At 50.8% G+C, this 20792-nt stretch overlaps 1 protein-coding gene across 1 annotated transcript in view, besides 4 other annotated features; it reads right to left on the bottom strand.

Annotated features, from left to right (window-relative positions):
* Window positions 1–971: 971 nt before the first annotated feature.
* The window catches only part of ZC3H12D (zinc finger CCCH-type containing 12D), a 38220-nt gene continuing 18399 nt past the window's right edge, over window positions 972–20792 (bottom strand). The window contains exons 3-6 of the mRNA NM_207360.3: window positions 16008–16147; window positions 10843–11077; window positions 6793–6899; window positions 972–5656 (exon numbers count right to left, since the gene is read on the bottom strand). Coding sequence (NP_997243.2) covers window positions 4860–5656; window positions 6793–6899; window positions 10843–11077; window positions 16008–16147 — 1279 coding nt within the window. The 3' untranslated portion in view covers window positions 972–4859. The remainder of the gene's footprint in view (window positions 5657–6792; window positions 6900–10842; window positions 11078–16007; window positions 16148–20792) is intronic.
* Window positions 5344–5895: an enhancer, noted in NCBI's record as "H3K27ac-H3K4me1 hESC enhancer chr6:149772303-149772854 (GRCh37/hg19 assembly coordinates)". NCBI's record gives its function as "activates a minimal SCP1, AML or CMV promoter by ChIP-STARR-seq in naive H9 embryonic stem cells {active_cell/tissue: H9 hESC(naive)}" and the evidence as "EXISTENCE:reporter gene assay evidence [ECO:0000049][PMID:30033119]".
* Window positions 5896–6447: an enhancer, noted in NCBI's record as "H3K4me1 hESC enhancer chr6:149772855-149773406 (GRCh37/hg19 assembly coordinates)". NCBI's record gives its function as "activates a minimal SCP1, AML or CMV promoter by ChIP-STARR-seq in naive H9 embryonic stem cells {active_cell/tissue: H9 hESC(naive)}" and the evidence as "EXISTENCE:reporter gene assay evidence [ECO:0000049][PMID:30033119]".
* Window positions 19962–20191: an enhancer, noted in NCBI's record as "active region_25255". NCBI's record gives its function as "activates an Ori minimal core promoter by ATAC-STARR-seq in GM12878 lymphoblastoid cells {active_cell/tissue: GM12878}" and the evidence as "EXISTENCE:reporter gene assay evidence [ECO:0000049][PMID:35858748]".
* Window positions 20282–20331: an enhancer, noted in NCBI's record as "active region_25256". NCBI's record gives its function as "activates an Ori minimal core promoter by ATAC-STARR-seq in GM12878 lymphoblastoid cells {active_cell/tissue: GM12878}" and the evidence as "EXISTENCE:reporter gene assay evidence [ECO:0000049][PMID:35858748]".

Here is a 20792-nt window from a genome sequence, read left to right on the forward strand (position 1 = left end):
CGGCCACGAGAATGGCTCTCATTGTGCAGGAAAAACCTTGGAAGGAGAGAATAAACAGAAGGAAACAGGTGCAGAAGGAAACAGACGAGAGTCCTGACACGGTTTTGAGGCCCTAATTCCGGTCAACTCAGCAGCTGCCTTCTACCCCCGGCCTCCTGCCATTTGGTTTTGTGAATCATACTTGTAGCCAAGAACTTTGGCTAATACAAACACGTATAATTCTAGAGCTACCCAGACTGACATCTCTCACTCATTTGGAAGTGGACAATCCAGAGTGTGATTTGCCCAAGCCCCTTGACTTCTCCCCTTTAGCCCCTTCCAGGGAAAGCCAAGGGAGCCCCACTTAGTCCTCAGGTGGCTGCAGCAAGCAAACCCTCAGGTAGAGGCTGGGGGACCAGCACCTGCTCCGACGCCATGGCCTTTTCTAGCTATGAAGCACATGCATCTTGGCCTCTGACTTCTTTCAGTCAATGTTTTGTTCTGAACATACTCTCGGCACTGAGAATGTTCTCTTGCTTGTGTTTTGGGTAACTCCATGGGGGGCTAGATTCCTGGGCATGTGACCTGTGCCATCGCACAGGGCCCTACGCTTCGAAGGAACCCATGTTTGGTTTCATGCTCTGCCGACATCTTGAAATTGTTACACATTTTGAACAGGGAACCTTGCAGTTTGATTTTGCATAGAGTCCCACAGATTATGCCGCTGGTCCCGGCTCTGTGCAATCCCTCCTGGTGGGATCTGTGATTCCAAGGAATTGCTCCAGTTCCCAGAACCCCACTCCCGATCACTCCTAGCTTGTATCTTCTTTACCTTAATGCCTCCCTCCCCCCATCCCTGACTTCTACGGTATTCTCCCCACCCCACCCCATAGATGGACTTTTTCCCCGGAAGCCCACAGCCTCTGTGGCCTCATCTGAGCTGTGTCCATGCCAGCCGCAGCTGGGGCATGGCTCCTCAGCTGAGCTCAATGTCAAACCAAAGCTGGATCCATTTTATTTGGAAGAATGCCAATTAGAGTGGCTTGTCTTGCTTCTACTCCTCAACCCCTGACATTCTACAGTTCTACCCCAAACCCCCTTCCAGAGGCCTCTGGGAAGGCTGCCTCAGGGCAAACCCAAGATGGCAACAGCCTCTGGTTTGATCAGTCGAGGAGAGCTCTGCTGCATGTTTGAACAAGAAGAGCAGCTTCTATGAGATGGCTTCATAGTTCTATAATGAGGATTTTAGAAGTCTAGGAAATGGGCAAGCAGCCTGTGTCCTTGGGAACTGCCTGCTGCACATCCAGCAAAGGGAGGTCCTTGCCATGGCCTCACTGCTTCTCCTGGAAAAGGTGGATTTGAGCCCCTCACATCCCCCCAGGTGGAACAACACAGAACTGCGGCTGCTGAGACTGGCCACAACCTCAGTCTTCTTCACGCCTACTTTTTTTTGTTTTTTGAGACAGAGTCTCACTCTGTCGCTCAGGCTGGAGTGCAGAGCGCAGTGGCACAGTCTCAGCTCACTACAACCTCTGCCTCCTGGGTTCAAGGTGATTCTCCTGCCTCAGCCTCCCGAGCAACTGGGATTACAGGTGTGCCCCACCACGGACCCAGCTAATTTTTGTATTTTTAGTAGAGACAGGGTCTCACCAGGTTGACCAGGCTGGTCTCGAACTCCTGAACTCATGAAGCCCACCAAAGTGCTGGGATTACAGACATGAGCCATCGTGCCCAGTCTAAACCCACAATTTTTAACAGAACAGACCAATCTAGGGGAAAGCCAGTAGGAGAAACTAATAGACAATTTGACAATAAAGAATCCAGGTGTGGTAAAAAATGATTTATTTTTGAAGCATGGTTAACAGCTATGCAACTAGGAACATTTCATTTACCTGTCCCATCTATGTTTTTCTGTCACAAAGACATATACTAAGACTTTGGAAAAATTCCAAAGGGGATTACACTTGAAATGTGCTGTGTTTTCACTTTTTTTTTTGTACTTGTCTTATTCACAGTGAATCAAATAAAACAGCTTTACAGCTTACTAAAACTCAAACTTGTTCTCAAAGGAAGCAGTTTAAACATTTTCAACTGAAAAATCAGCAACACAATGATTCTACATCAGGAAATCGAACCAGGGAGACAAAAAGCAGCTCTAATAGAAAGCGTGTCTTGTCAAAAGGTTAAAAATAAAAATAAAGGCCCGGGGCCAGGCGCGGTGGCTCACGCCTATAATCCCAGCACTTTGGGAGGCTGAGGCGGGGATCACAAGGTCAGGAGATCGAGACCATCCTGGCTAACACGGTGAAACCCCATCTCTACTAAAAATACAAAAAGTTAGCCAGATGTGGTGGCGGGCGCCTGTAGTCCCAGCTACTTGGGAGGCTGAGGCAGGAGAATGGCATGAACCTGGGAGGCAGTGGAGCATGTAGTGAGCCAAGATTGCGCCACTGCACTCCAGCCTGGGTGACAGAGCGAGACTCCGTTTCAAAAATAATAATAATAAAAATTAAAATAAAAAAAATAAAGGCCCGTTGAGGTGGCTCATGCCTGTAATCCCAACGCTTTGGGTCTTTACAAAAAATAGAAAAAATTAGCTGGACGTGGTGGCACAACTGTAGTCCCAGCTACTCAGGAGGCTGAGGCACAAGGATTGCTTGAGCCTGGGAAGTCAAAGCTGCAGTGAGCCCTGATTGCACTACTGCACTCCAGCCTGGGTGACAGATGACAGAGCGGAACCCTGCCCCCTCCTCCCCCACCAAAAAAACCCACACATATTATGAGGAAAATCCAACTTATTTACAAAGAATGGGTCATCTTCAGGCCTGAGATCCCAATATGTTATGGTAAAATTGTGGGTGCACCGTCCTCTTTGGAAAAAGGGGGTAAGGAACAGATCTGGCTCAATCCATGCTAAGAATCTGGTTTTAAAAGATCAAAGAAGTTTCAGAGAAAAACCTAACATCACTGTATGCCCCAGGGGTGTCATTTACCATGAATGAAAGGGCTGGGAACGCACTCTCCCTGAGGTGCCCCCCAGGCCTGCCAACATCTCATGAAATCTGGTAGTAAACTGGCAAGAGTTCCCTCTGCACCAGCAGGCTGCAGGAAGTTTGTGGGGCTGGGGGCTGGTCTTCTCTGGTCTTCCCCTGGGAAGTGCCTCCCGCTTTCCCCAAACTGCCAAGCTACCAAGCCCTCTAGTGAACAAATGAGCCATAGTCTGGAGGGCTGGCATGGTAACCAGAATGGGTGGATGCTGCCAGGAGAGGCCAGGGCCCCTGAGGATTCGGGGGTCGGCACTCTGGCAGCACCATCTCACTTCTTAGCCATTGCAAATGAGTAGGCCCTTTCTCCTCAAACCCAGAGCAGTAGCTGGCTAGAAGAAACGGCACCAGGAAGGTGGCAATAAACTCTGACTGAGCTCATGTCAGTTTTCTCCTAACCCACCTGTAGATTTGAGAGCAAAAGTCCTGACTCATCCAGCCCCAGTGTAACTGTGAAGTGCGGCTGTCATGTTTACAGTCCCAGTTACTCAGGAGGCTGAGGCAGGGGGATCACTTGAATCCAGGAGTTTGAGGCTGCAGTGAGCTATGATCACACTACTATACTCCAGACAGAGTGACAGAGTGAGACTCTGTCTTTTTTTTTTTTTTAAGACGGAGTCTCGCTCTGCTGCCCAGGCTGGAGTGCAGTGGCATGATCTCAACTCACTGCAACCTCCGCCTCCCAGGTTCAAGTGATTCTCCTGCCTCAGCCTCCTGAGTAGCTGGGACTACAGGTGTATGCCACCATGCCTGGCTAAATTTTTGTATTTTTAGTAGAGACAGGGTTTCACCATGTTGGCCAGGCTGGTCTCGAACTCCTGACCTCAAGTGATCTGCCTGCCTCAGCCTTCCAAAGTGCTGGGATTACAGGCATGAGCCACCATGCCGGGCCGAGACTCTGTCTGTTTAAAAAAAGAAGAAGAAGAAGAAGTAAAAGAAGGCAGCTCAGCTGGTACAGTAGAAAGCCTATTCTGGAAACTGCCATGATGGATGGCTAATAAAATATTGGAGATACTTAACCCTTAGCCAAACAGTATGTGTCTGTGTGGTGTGTGTGAGTATGTACATGTATGATAGACTGTGTGTGTGTGTGTGTGTGTGTGTGTGTGTTTGTGTGGTGGGGGTATGTGTGTGAAGGCCCCAGAAGGTGGCCCTGGGACAAAGCGCTCCTACCACTTGTCCCCAGCATAGGACAGCCACACAATTCAGAGCACAGGAGAGCCCACACCTGGAGGCTGGGCTGCCCTTGCGGGTGGGGTTAGCAATAGCTAACATGAAAACTTCCAGATAGCAAACCTCCCCTGGCCACCTGACTACATATTTCAAACATTACCTGAAGCAATGAAATTCAAGAGCATTCATAGTCTTTTTTAAACTTCTGACTACGACCCACATTGAGGTTAGTTACATGGCTGCCAAGGGGGTGGGGACACAGGATAGGTAACAAGAGTTCAGACTCAGCCTGATGGCACAGGGTGCGCTTTGCCCTGTCCCAGTCCACTGTGTTTGTGGTGGTGACCCACTAAATTGATTTTGTGACCCACTTGTGGGTTCTACTGCAGCTTGGACCCGCAGTCTCCGTGCACATGGAAAATCATTCCCTCCACGGAAGTGGGTGGACCTCCCCGCAGCAGGCCCCGGCCTCAGTGAGGATCACCAAGTGCCACCAGGCCCCCACAACCCCGCTCAGGAGGAGGAAGCAGGCTTCCCTGACCATCTTTAAAGAAAAGGGGGCACCATGATGGGCCCACTCAGGTCCAGGCTGGCAACCACAGGTCCACCCGTCCAAGACGCAAGGCGAGGCTGGGCCATTCCCTGCAAGTGCGTGTTGGTCCCTTAGGGCTTGCCCAGGGGCGCCCCCGCGCTCTGGCATCTCTGTACCAGGAGGATGAGCCTGGCGAGGTCTGAGAGCTCCGGGAACGCGGCCATCACGCGGTCCACCTGGTCACGCGGGAAGACGCTGTAGAGCGCGATGCGAGCCCGGGCGCGCGCGTCCCCCTCGTCGTCCTCGGTCGCGTACACTGAAAGTCCCCCAGTGGCGCCGTCGCCCCAGGCCGGCTCCGCCCAGACGGAGCGCCCAGGGAAGCGGTCGGAGCGGGGTGGACGGGCCCACGGGTCGTCGGGTGGCCTGCGCGGGGAAAGCAAGTCGCCGTGCAGGTCCCTAGGGCGGTGTTCGCCCCGCGGCTGGAGCTGCAGGCCGGGCGGAGGCGGGAGGTCGCCCGGGGAGAACTGGCTCTCCGGGCTAGGGAGGCTGAGCGGGCCTGGCACCCGGCCGCCCGCGGACACCCAGTCGGGCCCGCCCAGTCGGGGCGTGAGGCTGCAGGCGGGGACCGGGAGAGGCGGCCCCAGGGGCCCCAGGTCGTCGCTGAAGGCCAGCCGAGAGAAGCTCCCTCGCAGGGCGGCCAGGTCCGGGGACCCCCGCGCCGGCGGGAGGCTGTGCGCAAATGGTTCCCGGGGGGCCGCCCGGGCTCCTGCGGAGCCGCCCGGGGCTCTCGGTGGCCGCTGCTCCTCGGCGCCCGCGCCAGGCCGGGCCCCTGTCTTGGCGCGGAGCTCGTCGGCCACCGCCAGTTGCGCGTGGTGCGGCCTCTCCGGGTGGTAGAACTTGCACTTGATGCCATAGGTGCATTTCTTGCCTGAAAGGGGCGGGGGCAGAGAGGGCGCGACGTGAGGCCCGGGGGCGCGGAGGGGCGGTGGTTCCTGGTGCATCCGGGGAGTGCCGGCCCGCGGCCTCTCCGTGGAGATTCCTCCAAGCAGGCCCCCAGGCCGCCGCGGACTCCTCAGACTCAGCGCCCTGGAAACGCCTCAAGATCTGGGCGCGGGGCCGAGGTGGGGAGAAGTGCCCGGGAGGCGCGGGCGGCCTGGGTGAGGGGGCGCTGAGCACACTCATCCCAGGGTATGCAGAGGAGTGTCGTTCCCAGGTCCCTTTGACCAGGGACTAAGACCAAATCTCTGGATTCAAAGACTTTCAGCCTCCAATTGCCCAGGGACCCTGTGGATAGGGCCAGGCTTAGGGAGCGGGCGGTAGGGAGTGGGTGCTCGGGGCAGAGGACTGCGCCTGCAGTGCCGCCTCAGTTCCCACCGTTCTCCGTGTTCGCTGTGCTAACGCTTGCCCTCACCCTGCACGCTGTTCTAACAGAGTCGTGAACAAATGGTCAAGTGTTACTATCCAAACCCAAGGCTTCTGAGAGTGAAAGGGGGAAGGAGGAGTCAGCCTGAATGTATGTATGGTCACCTAATTCTAACAAGAAATGATTGACTGTCACCCAAGTCTTTACTGAACTTGGAAACATCAAATAACTTGACGAAGCAAGTCAGTGAAAGAGCTGGCTAGAAGGCTGGCATCCCCCAGGGTGCTGGGATAAAATTCTTAACTCTTCATGGATAGCAGTGACCAAAGTCCATAGGGTGGAGGGGTGGAGAGCAGGGTAGGGTGAGGACAGAAGCTGCCAGGGGCCAGGTGAAGGGACTGAGACCCGCAGCTGGGTTTGTGTCCAGGCTCCCGGCTTCTCAGACACAGCTTTGCTGTGTGCATGACCCCTGCATCCGACCCTGGCATGGGATCCTGGCTCCCATGAAATCACCGGCCAGGATGTCAGTTCTACAATAACCCTGTCAGGAAAGTTAACTCTCCAGGTAGCACAGCTGGAGGGCAGAACTTGGGCAAGAGCCCAGGCCGCTGAGCACCAGGCCAGCGCTTTTTGACTGTGCTCCTGTACTGCCCCCACACAAGGCCCTGAACAGGGCCTGCGAAGCACTGGGCCCTACCCACCATAAGGACAATGCTGCCAGGATGGCTCTGGGGGCTTCGGCTTCCTGCTCAGGAAGTTGCTCAGGGAGGGTCCATGGCGGCCCAGGGGGTCATCAGGCGGCATGAACCTGGAAAATAAGCACAGGGGCAACTGCAAGACCACCTGGGATTTGCCACCAGCACCTGTACAAAGGGAGCAGGCCCAAGTTCCCCAAGAACACCAGGAAGCATTCGGCCCCGGGCCCACCATCACCCAGCAGGATGTCACAGCATCTTAAAGCAAAACCTTCCCTTCACACTGAACCCCATGCAGAGCACACAGCACAGCTCTGGCCCTCTTTGGGTGTTTCTCCTGTTGTGGTTCAAGCCAGCAGTGTCAGAATCACCTAGCAACTTAAAAATGCAGTCATCTGAGTGCAGTGGTTCACATGGGTAATCCCAACACTTTGGGAAGCTGAGGCAGAAAGATCCCTTGAGCTCAGGAGTTCAAGACCAGCCTGGACAACATAGTGAAACCTTGTCTCTACAGAAAGCAAAAAAAAAAAAAAAAAAGAAAATTAGCCAGATGTGGTGGTGAATGCCTTTAGTCCCAGCTACTCGGGAGGCTGAGATGGGAGGATGGCTGAGCCTGGGAGATGGAGGCTGCAGTGAGTCATGATTGTGCCACTGCACTCCAGCCCCGGTAACAGAGTGAGATCCTGGCTAAAAAAAAAAAAAATGACAGCCTCCGAGCTTCGCGCAAGACCTGCTTCATCAGAATCTGAAGTTGTTCAGGAATCTGCACAACTGGGAGATTGAGGTGGGCAGATTGCCTGAGCTCAGGAGTTCACAACCAACCTGGGCAACACGGTGAAACCTCATCTCTACTAAAAAATACACAAAAATTAGCTGGGCATGGTGGCGGGCACCTGTAGTCCCAGCTACTGGGGAGGCTGAGGCAGGAGAATTGCTTGAACCCGGGAGGCGAAGGTTGCAGTGAGCCGAGATCATGCTACTGCACTCCATCCTGGATGACAGAGTGAGACTCCTTCTCCAAAAAAAAAGAACTTCCCAGGTGATTTTTATCCAGGAAAATGAAAGTATAATTGCTCTAAGGGCTCCTCTGGCTTCCCACTGTCCTCAACAAAAGGTTAGAAACCTCTATGAGGTTAACAGCTCCAGAAAAGCCAGGAGTGGTGTCATACCCCTGTAGTTCCAGCTACTAGAAAAGCTGAGGAAGGAGGATCCCTGGAGTCCAGGAGTCCAGCCTGGGCAACAGAGCTAGACTCTATCATCTCTAAATAAACAAACAAACAAAAAACAGTTCCAGAAGGTTTCAGAGTTGTATGAGCTCCTTGAGGCTTAGGTCCCATTTCTCCTGTGTTTCACCCCGTGCCAAACACAGCTCTGGGCTGTGAACCTCCAGGCGAAGAGATTCAATAGGAACAGGGAGTTTGAATCAGTGAGGAAGTGGATCCCAGGTGCTGCCTGCACATACAGCCACCTCGCAGACTTAACCTCCTCCTCTGCGCACCCTGGGGGCACAGGGTCTGGTCTTAGTTTCCTTGGCTGCCCTGCCCCTGATCTGCCCTTCTCTCCTCCCTGGCATGGAGCCCTAATGAGGAAGGGAATGCATGCTCAGAGTTCAACAGGGAAAACCCAATTCCTCAGAAGGAAAACGCCCCTCGCTGAGTGAGGTCCACTTTTTACATAAATACTTTTGTTCCCAAGGCCACTTCCAGGTCATACAAAGGTTCTGTAGAGAGGTTGGGATTGTAAATCAAGGAGAAGATGTTTTATGGGTTGCTGTCCCCCTAAGAATCCAGAGTCATGCTGAAGTCCCACTCTGCAGAGAGCTGGGTGATCCCCGGCCCTGTGTGGCCTCCATAGCTCAGCTCCCAGCTGCACAGCCGGCTTCTCAGAATTGGGCCTTGACCAAGAATCTGGGGAACCGCCCACTGTGGTTATTAAACGTTCCCAAAGACTTCCTCTCCTGCTCTCTCAGGAGCAGGAGCTGTGCCAAGAGGGCCCTGTGGACGTGCCCGGGGCACCAGGGCAGGCGCCCTCGCTCACAAGCGGGCGGCAGGTCCTGCCTCCTGGCAGGCCCTTAACGGAGGCCAGTGCGTCAAAAGGACTTGGCTCCCGCCCCAGGCTGTCATCAGGCCAGAGATGGCCATGTCCCTGAGAGCTCAGTGAGGATTTCTGGAGCCCATAGTTACCAGACTAGCCAGATTCCTCCAGGCTACAGACGGACAGTGAGAGCCGCTGGCCTTTTGTAGCTGGAAATGACAATGGGGGCTCCTGCAGGGCGCTGCTGCCATGCCTCTGGCCCTCCACCTCCACGGCTGCAGGGGCAGTTGGCCTTGGGGACCACAGTACCCCCTGCTGCACCATGTCCTGGGAATAGCTGCTACCACTTCTGGGGCACAATTCTCTCTAGTCCTCACAATGATCTCAGAGGTGACATTATTAATCCCTTTTCAAGGTGAAGAACATTCAGCTCAGAGAGGTTGAGTGGTTCCCCCTTGACTCCCAGCCAGTAAGTGGCAGGGCCTCAGATGGAAACCTCACCTGCCCTCTCCAAAGCCCCAGCCCTTTCTCAAACACCACACTGTGTCCCTGGGTCCAGAGTCAGCAGCTGCTCAGCCGTGTGCAAGCAGCCTAAGCCCAGACCTCTTTCCCCATCGACCCTTCCCCAGCCATAGCCATTCACTCGGTCATTCCTTTACAACTAGTTACTGCACCCCTGTGGGCCAGGCGTGCTGGAGACACCGCACGTAAGACAGATACAGTCCCGGCCCTCACAGAGCTGAGGAGTTTGTCTAAAACCACGTTCCAAAAAGTCAGTCAGAGAGCCCAGAATGAGGGCCAAGCTAACACTGCCTGGAACAGAAATGGAAATGGGAGCAACAGCCCAGCTGGCTGTGCTCTGTCACACGCTGCTCGGGTCTCCAGACCCTCATCCACCTTGCCAGTGTCTGCCCTCACCATTAGCTGAGTGGTTTGTGCCTGTGGCCCTGTGTCCCTCTCTGCCTCCAGCCATAGCCGGTTGGTCTGGGATGAACTGACCCAAGAGGCCTATTTCAGGGCTACATGAACCAGCCAGGTTCTCTTGAACATTTCAACCCAGAGTCAGGGCCAGGCAGGGGGAGATATTTACAGCCCAGAAGAAAAGATTCTGGGCTGGGCTCAGTGGCTGACACCTAAAATCTCAACACTTTGGGAGGCTGAGGCAGGAGGATCGCTTGAGCCCAGGTGTTCAAGGCTGCAGTGAGCTGTGATCATGCCACTGCACTCCAACCTGGGCAATAGAGCAAGACCCTGTCAAAGAAAAAAAAAAATCTGTTGCCTACTCCCATATGTAATTCAAAATTTTGATTTAAAAAAAAAAAAAAGACAGCCAGGCACGGTGGCTCAAGCCTGTAATCCCAGCACTTTGGGAAGCCGAGGTGGACAGATCACAAGGTCAGGAGATCGAGACCATCTGGCTAACATGGTGAAACTCCATCTCTACTAAAAATACAAAAAATTAGCCAGGCATGGTGGTGCGTGCCTATAATCTCAGCTACTCGGGAGGCTGAGGCAGGAGAATTGCTTGAACCTGGGAGGCAGAGTTTGCAGTGAGCCAAGATTGAGCCACTGCACTCCAGCCTGGGTGACAGAGCAAGACTCCATCTCAAAAAATAAAATAAAATAAAATAAAATAAAATAAGACAAAAACCTGAAATAAGTGAAAAGCAATACAACAAAGTACAGATCTTTTCCATGATGACTATTTCAATATTCTGAAGTATGCAATTCTGTTTTTTTAAGTTAGTGGTGCCCTAAACACATGCTTGCATGCTTGGCCCACCTCTTGGGCTTCTCTGTGGTGTGTCAGATGTGGCCCTGGGAACAGCAAGGTCAGAGCAAAGCAGCCCACCTATTGGGGACGTGCCCGCCGAGAATGCGGACCTGGGGGAGCTCTGTCTGAGGGGCTGGGTGACCGGGTGACCCCAAGCTCCTCCACCTGGTAGCAGGCGTGGCCACTGCCTCGACCCCGGCCCCCCGCCCCGCCGCCCCCCAGGGTGTCAGGACCCCAGCCGGACCTACCGGTCGTTGACGAAGGAGAACATGAGCAGCCTCTGCTCGATGAACCACTTCCACTCGGGGTTCTCGCTCTGCAGGTCCCGGTAGTTGTCGTTGGAGACGATGACGCCGTCCTGCTCGTAGGCCACCTTCACGATGTAGCGGTCGTCGTAGCAGACCAGGCGCTTGCCGTGCACCTTGCGGGACGGCGTGTACACCAGCACCGCCTGCCGCTCCAGCTCCGCCAGCACGTGCTGCTCTGAGGGCGGGGCGACGGAGACGCGGGTGAGGGCCCAAGGGCACCGCCCCTGAGAACCACCCCCAACGCGAGGCCACCCGCTTCCCGGGCCGGTCAGATGAGGTTTTGAGGGGAGCGGGGAAAAAACACCAGTTTTTGCCGCCATAGCGTTCGCTCCTTTCACTCAATTTCACTGAATTTGCCTGAAGCCCCAGGTCAAGCAGGCAGGCGCGTGGCTTCCGTCCTGCCCACATCATGACAGGAGTCCAGAAAGCGATACTCTACAAGGGAGAGTCACTTCAGAAGGAAGGGTTCAGCCACAGCCCTTGTCCTTTTGAGGGTTCCATGCCACAATGCCCCTATCGCAGCAGGCACAGGGGCCTCCTGGAGAAAGACATTCCTGTATTAACCCGGACCTTGATGATGCCTTCAGCATGACGGGGAGCCTGGCATTCACCTGGAAAGCCCTGCATGGGCCCCTAGCTGGGAGCCAGAGGTCCATCTTCTCCCACCATCCAGGAACCTGCCTGGGACACCTTTGGGATGGAGCACCCCATCACTGACAGATACAGGGACTCAAGAACATCATAGAAAGCATCCAGGACTAGGAATCCAGCCTGGAGTCTGGGCCGGGCTCCAGTTCCTGGGTACTTCACCCCGGTTGAATGTCCATCCAGTTTTATATTTATAAAATGAAGATAGCAACGCCTCCTCTTCCTGTCTCAGAGTGTCTGTGAGTGGACTGAGCTCAAGTGAGTGCGAGTTCTTGCAAAAACTAGTCAAGAGGTAAACATGCACCAGATGGTACAAACATTACAAGGCCTTTCTTATCAGAGGCTAAAATCTGCATCCCAGGAGGGTCAGCTGTTTGATCTGGATTTTGCCTTTGGAGACATGCAGGAAAAAAAAAATCCGTTTGACACATAATAATTACTCAGGTCCCTCAAGTTTAAGTCCTTTCCCATATGACACTGTTGGCTGATTTTTAAAACGTGCATAATGCAGCTATGGTACAAAGAACAAAAATAAAGACGCCACATATCTAGCACCTCCTTTGAGAAATAGGAGGTGGCTCATGTTTGGAAGTCCCCTCTGCCCCCTCAGTCTGCGATCCTCTCCATTCCCCTTAAGCCCTTAGGACAACCCTAGTTTTAGAACTCCGTGTTTATGATTTCCTTGCTTTTATTTTTAAAAATGCAGATTATGAGAATCATTTTCTTTCTTTCTTTTTCTTTTTTTTTTTCGTTTCTTTTTTTTTTTTTTTTTTTTTTTTTGAGACAAGATCTCACTGTGTCACCCAGGCTGGAGTGCAGTAGCACAATCATGGCTCACTGCTGCTTCTACCCTCAAGGCTCAGGTGATCCTCTTACCTCAGCCTTCCGTGCAGCTAGGACTACAGGCATGCACCACCACGCTCAGCTAATTTTTTTATTTTTTGTAAAGATGGGAATTCGCCATGTTGCCCAAGCTGGTCTCAAACTTCTAGACTCAAGCATCCACCCACCTCAACCTCCCAAAGTGCTGGGATTACAGGCGTGAGTCACCATGCCCCACTGAGGATCATTTTCAGTGTGGTTACACATCAGACTTGACACAAATGGAATCATACTATACATATACTTAAGCAGCTTGTCTTTTTCGTTCATCATTGTGTTTGCGAGGTTTGGTTGTGCCATATGTTCATCACTATTAGTCCTGCATCTAAGTCCCCGGCACAGAAGAGGCAAGGACCTCTTCAGGGTATATCTCCAAGAGTGAATATGGCTGAGCTGTATGGAAGGCACTTTACAAGGTAATGCCAAATTGTTTTCCAGAGTGGCGATGCCAAGTTACATACCCAACACAGCACATAAGACAACCTTGCCGATACTTGGCATTTTCAGGCTTTTGGATGTTTGCCAATCTGGTGGGCACAAAATGGCCTCCTATTGTGGTTTTATTTTGCATTTCTCTGGTTGCTAATGAGATTGAGCATCTTTTCATATGTTTGTATGTTTATATGGCCATATATGTTTTCTTTTCTGTAAACAGCTTATTCATGCTTTAGCCCATCTTTCTGTTGATTCATTGTCTTTGTCTCTTTGATTTGGAGAAGTTCTCTCAAGATCTAGGCAGTAATCCTTCATCAGTAATGTGTGATGTGTAACCCGCCCCCACACCCTCACCCCAGTTTGAGACTTGTCTTTCCACTTTTTTGTTTTTGTGGTATCTGTTAATGAATAAAAGCTTTTATTTTAGTATAGTCAAATGTATTCATCTTTCTTCATAAGTTTGCACTTGTTGTGGCTTATTTAAAAATTCCTTCCCTATCCCAAAGTAATTTCTCTACTTTTCCCACATTATATTTAAGTATTACACTACTGTTGAAATTCACCATTCTTCACATTCAGACCATAAAGAATAATTCAGGACAACCAGTTCATGACAGGGAACTGAACACAAGTATTTATATTCCCTCTTTCTCATAGTTCCAATGTAATGAAAGGTGGGGGGAGATCTATAATCATGTTAAAAGTAGGTTTGGGGACAGCAGCAAACCCAGGATTTTGACATACTTTGGGAAGACAGAAAGCAGAGAGGATTGTATTGATTGTGCAGCATGGAGGGAACCACAGCCCAGAATATGCGCAGAAGGCTGGAGTGGAGGTGGGAGCCATTGCCCTGCAGTCTTGGAGCACTTCTGGTGGTGGAGATGGAGTGGAAGTCGGGCAAAATCGGGATGACTAACAGGTGAGCTGAGCTACTCCCTGGCAGCTGCTCCCAGGAGAATGGACCTCCACTCATTTCCCATCCCTATCCCTATAAAGAAAGTGAAGCTACAACTAGGAAGGAAGAAGCCTCCCATTGTGGCTGTTGACCTCCTAGAATAAAACCATCATCATTCTGCCATTGGAATAAGTGGTGGGCAGAGGCGCCAGGCTGCCTGCCTGCTCCATGCCAGGTATACTAAAGTGAAAACTGCCAGTCAACACAAATGGTCCACACTGCCATTCAGGGAGAAGTTTTCATACTAGGAGAGAAAACCCATGGCAACTGCGCAGATATAGTCATGCACTGCATAACAATGATTCAGACCACGTGTGTGACAGTGGTCCCATAAGACTATAACAGAGTTGAAAAATTCCTATCATCATAGCCATCCTGACCTTGTAGTGTGACGTGTGACTCATGTGCCTGAGGTGATGCTGGTGGAAACACTCTTCTGTGCTGCCAGTTGTGTAAAAGTCTAGCACGTACAATTATGTACAGCACATAACACTTGATCATAATAATAAAGAGCTTTGCAGCTGCTCTCTTCTCACAGGTGAGCATCCCTAATCCAAAAATCCGACCAACATGATGTTCAAAGCAAATACTCATTGGAGCATTTCAGATTTGGGATTTTTGGATTAGGAATGCTCAGCCAGTAAGCATAATGAAAATATTCAGAAATCCAAAACACTTCTGCTCCCAAGTACTTCAGATAAGGGATACTCAACTGTATAAGAAGCCAAACAACAAACAAGACCCTGTTTGTTTAAACCACAGTGTTCTGACCGTGCCTGGTGGCTCATGCCAGTAATCCTAGCACTTTGGGAGGCCAAGGCAGAGGGATGGCTTGCGTCCAGAAGTTAAAGACCAGCCTGAGCAACATGGTGAAACCCCATCTCTACAAAAAACAAAAACTAGCTAGGGCAGGGTGCGGTGGCTCACACATGTAATCCCAGCACTTTGGGAGGCAGAGGTGGGTGGATCACCTGAGGTCAGGAGTTCAAGACCAGCCAACATGATGAAACCCCATCTCTAATAAAAATACAAAAATTAGCTGGGCGTGGTGGCACGCGCCTGTAGTCCCAGCTACTCAGGAGGCTAAAGCAGGAGAATCGCTTGAACCTGAGAGGCAGAGGTTGCAGTGAGCTGAGATTGTGCCGTTGTACTATGGCCTGGGCGACAAGAGTGAAACTCCATGTCAAAAAAAAAAAAGAAAGAAAGAAACTAGCTGGGTGTGGTGATATGCACCTATAGTCCCAGCTACTGAAGAAGCTAAGGTAGGAGGATCTCCTGAGCCAGGGGAGAGCAAGTCTGCAATGAGCCATAGTGAGACTCCATCTCAAAACTAAATAAATAAATAATAAAACTGCAGTATTCTAATATTTGTAGGTTAAAATATTCCTAGCTGATTGAAGAATTAAAAATGAAGAGGCTGGGTGAGGTGGCTCTCGCCTCTAATCCCAGCACTTTGGGAGTTCGAGGTGGGCGGATCATGAAGTCAAGAGATTGAGACCATCCTGGCCAACATGGTGAAACTCCATCTCTACTAAAAATATAAAAATTAGTTGGGTGTGGTGGCACATGCATGTAATCCCAGCTACTTGGGAGGCTGAGGCAGGAGAATCACTTGAACCCGGGAGGAGGAGGTTGCAGTGAGCCGAGATCATGCCACTGCACTCCAGCTTGGCGACAGAGCAAGATTTGGTCTCAAAAAAAAAAAAAAAGAAGAAGAAGAATTCCCTGGGTCTCAGTTTTCTTCTTCTTTTTAAATAAAGAGATTAGATGAAGTACTTGGTAAATAAGTATTACCTGACCAAATAAATGTCTCTTTCAAATCCTATAAACTATTAGAAGTGGAATACAGATCCAGTGTCTCTTCAGGTGTTAAAAGTTGTCAGGCACAATTATTTTGATAACTTAACACACCAAAAGAGTAGTTTGTTCATTCATCTACTCAACAACTGCTTATTGAACGCCTAATTTTGAACTACTTGTTGAATACCAGGTGTTACGCTAGGTGCTAGGTGCTAGGGCTATGGCATTGAACAGTCATAATCAGTGCCTTCATGGAGCTTATAGCGCAGTGAGGAAGACAAATATCATTAAACAAACAACTAAGTAGATATTTGACTATCGATGTTAGAAGTGCACCAAGGAAACGTGTCTAGTACCTCTTGAGCATACATCTGCTCCAGCATACCTCTGATAGGGGTGTCAGCTCTTGGTGGGTCCTTCCTCCAGGATGGAACAAAAACTTTGATGTAGGTGTGTCCTCTGTCCCTGAACCAGTCAACAGCCAGCTTGATTCCCCGGCAAGAGAAGGTTTCTTTATTTCCATGGCTACAATGGGAAAACAAAGAAATCATAGAGACACAGCAAGTGTTCCTAAGAGTGATTTCCCTGCGAATATCCTGGATCACAGTCTCATAATCAAGAGGGAACCAGGAAAATCTATGTTTTAGGCCAGGAGTGGTGGCTCATGCCTGTAATCCCAACATTTTGGGAGGCCAAGGTGGGCAGATCACTTGAGGTCAGGAGTTTGAGATCAGCCTGGCCAACATGGTGAAACCCCATCTCTACGAAAAATACAAAAATTACCGAGGTGTAGTGGTGCACACCTGCAATCCCAGCTACTCTGGAGGCTGGGGCAGGAAAATCACTTGAACCCGAAAGATGGAGGATTCAGTGAGCTGCAATCCCACCACTGCACTCCGGCCTGGGCAACAGAGGGAGACTCTGTCTCAACAAAAAACAAAACAAAACAAAAAAAAACCACACACACACACAAGAAAATCTACACTTTAAAGATAGTTCATTCTTCCATTTACAAATAATAACCATTAACAAGAACCACATAGCTTGTGATAGGTATGTAGAGGGTCTTGGGCTCTGTTATAGCTAATATCAAGTGTCAACTTGATTGGATTGAAGAATGCAAAGTATTGTTCCTGGGTGTGTCTGTGAGGGTGTTGCCAAAAGAGATTAATATTTGAGTCAGTGGACTGGGAGAGGCCAACCCTCCCTCAATCTGGGTGGGCACCATCTAATCAACTGCCAGCATGGCTAGAACAAAACAGGCAGAAGAAAGTAGAATGAGCGGACTTGCTGAGTCTTCTGGCCTTCGTTTTTCGCCCGTGCTGGATGCTTCCTGCTCTTGAACATCAGACTCCAAGTTCTTCAGCTTTTGGACTGTTGGACTTACACCAGGGGTTTGCCAGGGGCTCTTGGGCCTTTGGCCACAGACTGAAGGCTGCACTGTCGGCTTCCCTATTTTTGAGGTTTTGGGCCTTGGACTGGCTTCCTTGCTCCTCAGTTTGCAGATGGTCTATTATGGGACTTCACCTTGTGATCGTGTGAGTCACTACTCCTTAATAAACTCCCCTTCATATATACATGTAGCCTATTAGTTCTTCCCTTCAGAGAATCCTGACTAATACGGCTCCAAGAATACATTCTGAGGACTAACAGACAAGACCCTCTCTTTAACTGAAGCTAAGAATGATCAACATAAGACAGATAGGAGTAGCCATCTACAGAATCACTCTCACCCTGAGAGATGGTTGTAAATGTGTTATTGGGTTTCCCAAGTCCAAGCAAGGAGGGCAATGCCCTTCAAATTCCATAGAAGACTTCAATGGAGGCAATAAGGAGAGAGTGGTATGAGATCAGGCAGGGCCTTGCAGACATTATGGAAGATTCCTTTCTTCCTCCTAAGAGGAATTAAAAAGCCACGGAAGGATTTCAAGATTGGAAGTAGATGATGTGATGCGTTGTGATGATTCAAAAAGCTCAATCTGAGGCCGGGCGTGGTGGCTCACGCCTGTAATCCCAGAACTTTGTGAGGCCGAGGCAGGTGGATCATGAGGTCAGGAGATCAAGACCATCCTGGCCAACATGGTGAAACCCTGTCTCTACTAAAAATACAAAAATTAGCCAGGCGTGGTGGCGCATGCCTATAATCCCAGCTACTCAGGGGGCTGAGGCAGGAGAATTGCTCGAACCTGGGAGGCGGAGGTTGTAGTGAGCCGAGATCGCGCCACTGCACTCCAGCTTGGGCGACATAGCAAAAATTGACGGTGACTTGGACTAAGCTGATGGTGGTGGATGAGGGAGAAGAGTAGGTGAACTTGAGAGATATTTATTTAGAAGGTCAAATCTCCAGAACTCAATGACTGATTGGATATGGGAGTGATAGAGAAGAAGGCATCAAAGATGACTCAAGATCTCTGGCTTGTGTAAGAGGATGGCAGGCTATTCACTGACACCAGGAATTCTGGAAAGGAACAGGGTTAGAGGGAAAGATCATGAGTTCTATTTTAGACACATATTGAGCTGTTAACATTTCCACTTAGAGGAAATGTTAAGTAAACAGCTAGGGTTCAGTGGAGATGTCTGAGTGATTAAAGTTGTAGGCCGTCTCTGTGTAAGCAATAGCTGAGGCCACAGCATGGACAGAATTTCCTGCTCGCCTGGAGAGAAAGTGAGCAGCCTGGGCTGGAGGAACTCTGCGACTTCGCAGCTGGTTATAGGTAGAGGGGGGCAATATCATATGGGACTCAGGAGGGACGGATCTGAGAAGGAGGAAGAAAACCAGAGGATGTGCATCAGGAAAGCCAGGGGAAAAGGGGTCACCAAACGCTGCTCCAAGTGACTGGTGAAACCTGAAGACGTCCCTCAGACTCAGTCAGTGGGGTCAGTGGGGTTTCGCTGGAGGGAGACAAGTGGATAGATTTGAGATATTGAGAAGGCAAAATCAACTGGACTCAGCCATGTGTGAGACAGAACCTGGCCTCAAATTAGATCACTCCACATCCTCTTCCGCCTTCAGATCCCAGCTTCATCCTCACTTCCTCAGGAAAGCATCCCCTACTCCCTAGACTCCTGCAGATCCCTCTCACGAGCTCTCACTGCACCCTCCCGCTCCTTCCTGGCACTGGGGAACGTTGGCACCCATCCAGGGGATTGCCTGGGTCTCCCTTCTTTAAACCGTGGGCTCCTCTTGCTCACCACAGAACTCTCAGTGCCCAGCATCGTGTCTAATAATTGTAATGACTCACTTTAAAAGCTGTTGAATAAACGAATGGCTGAGAAGAAACTCAGCTGAGAAGCAGCTAGAGGAGAAGCTGAAGCAAAGGGAAGAGCTGACCGGAAGGATCCAAACACAGGCATAACTGACATGGTCTAGGGACCAGAAAGACAGGAGTGGGGCTGGAGCACGAGGAATGAGCCCGGGCAACAGGTGTAAAGGGAGGGGCAAGGATAAGTTCTTAGAGAGCCAAGGGCCACTACGCCACTCGTGCCTTCTCCCGAGAAGCCTGGCAGCCAACCCATATGCAGACAAGGATGACATTTTGAATTCACACTGCTGTGCTCTCTCTCGTATGTGACCTTTCCTGCTATTTTCTCAAGGAAGATTAGGATAGTCACAAGTTTATAAAAGAAAAAGGACGCGGTGGCTCATGCCTGTAATCCCAGCACTTTGGGAGGCTGAGGTGGGCGGATCACCTGAGGTCAGGAGTTCAAGACCAGCCTGACCAACATGGTGAAACCGCATCTTTACTAAAAATACAAAAATTAGCTGGGTGTGGTGGCACGTGCCTGTAATCCCAGCTACTGGAGAGGCTGAGGCTGGAGAATCGCGTGAGCCTGGGAGGCAGAGGTTGCAGTGAGCTGAGATCAAGCCACTGCACTCCAGCCTGGGTGACAGTGTGAGACTCTGTCTCAAAAAAAAAAAAAAAATGAAGAAGATAAATATCCCTTTCGCTACTGAGGCTGAACTCTGAGGCTTGTACAGTGAGGAGAAAATATCAACAGGGATATCTGTGGTCAAAAGGAAGAGGAAGGCCGGGTGTGGTGGCTCACACCTGTAATCCCAGCACTTTCGGAGGCCAAGGAGAAAGGATCACGAGGTCAGGAGATCGAGAGCATCCTGGCTAACACGGTGAAATCCTGTCTCTACTAAAAATACAAAAAATTTAGCTAGGTGTGATGGCATGCACATGTAGTTCCAGCTACTCGGGAGGCTGAGGCAGGAGAATCACTTGAACCTGGGAGGTGGAGGTCACAGTGAGCTGAGATCGCACCACTGCACTCCAGCCTGGGCGACAGAGCGAGACGCCATCTCAAAAAAAAAAAAGGGGGGGGGAAGAGGAAGCAGATCGCTGGTCCTTTCCAGCCCAGCAGAAGCTGAAAAAGAGGGAAGATGGAAGGAGGAGGAGGTCCTCACCCCACCCCCCAATTCCAGCTCCACCCAGCCCAACCATAGGGGAGGGGGAGATGGAGAAACATCAAGACTGTGAACAAGAGGCTGAACCTTTGTTTTTCAGCACAGACTGGGCAGGCTGCAAGCCCCTCAGAGAAACCAGGTTTCTGCAAGGCTGCCTTGGAGGAACATGACTTGGAGGAGAAGTGAGTCTGAAGCCACACCCCATCCCTCGCATGACCCCAGGCCTGGTGGACTGTCTGGGGATGGACAAGCTGGCACCAGTGAGCAGAGAGCACTTTAAGCCAGCATGGCTCCCAGAAGGCCACTTCCATGTTTCCCGTTTAGAGGCCAGGCCAGCCCAGCCACTGTGCAACAGAACCCAGTGAGGGCCCCAGACCCCTTTTCCGGCCAATATCAGGTCTCAAAGGCCCCAGAGGCCATCCGAGATGGGAGGGGGCGGAGAGGAACCACAGAGCCTGAGTCGCCCAGGAGACAGAAGAAACGGAGGCCCCACCTGATGTACACTGGCAAACGTTAAGATGTACCCTCCCCTACCTAAAAAAGAGGGGAAGATATCGTGCCTGTCATAGAAAATGAGGTCCGTTTTCTGTGTCCCTGAAGCAGTAAAGTGAACAATTGATGACACCCTCCCTCACGTCACCCCCGAGACACATGCATCTCTTCAATGTAGTCAAGTCCACCCTCAGTTAATTCTCAAGGGAAAATAGCACCACCACAATTATTTTAAAACTTGTTTCTTGGCTGGGTGCTGTGGCTCAC

Source organism: Homo sapiens, chromosome 6, assembly GCF_000001405.40.
Source record: "Homo sapiens chromosome 6, GRCh38.p14 Primary Assembly".
Lineage (NCBI taxonomy): Eukaryota > Metazoa > Chordata > Mammalia > Primates > Hominidae > Homo > Homo sapiens.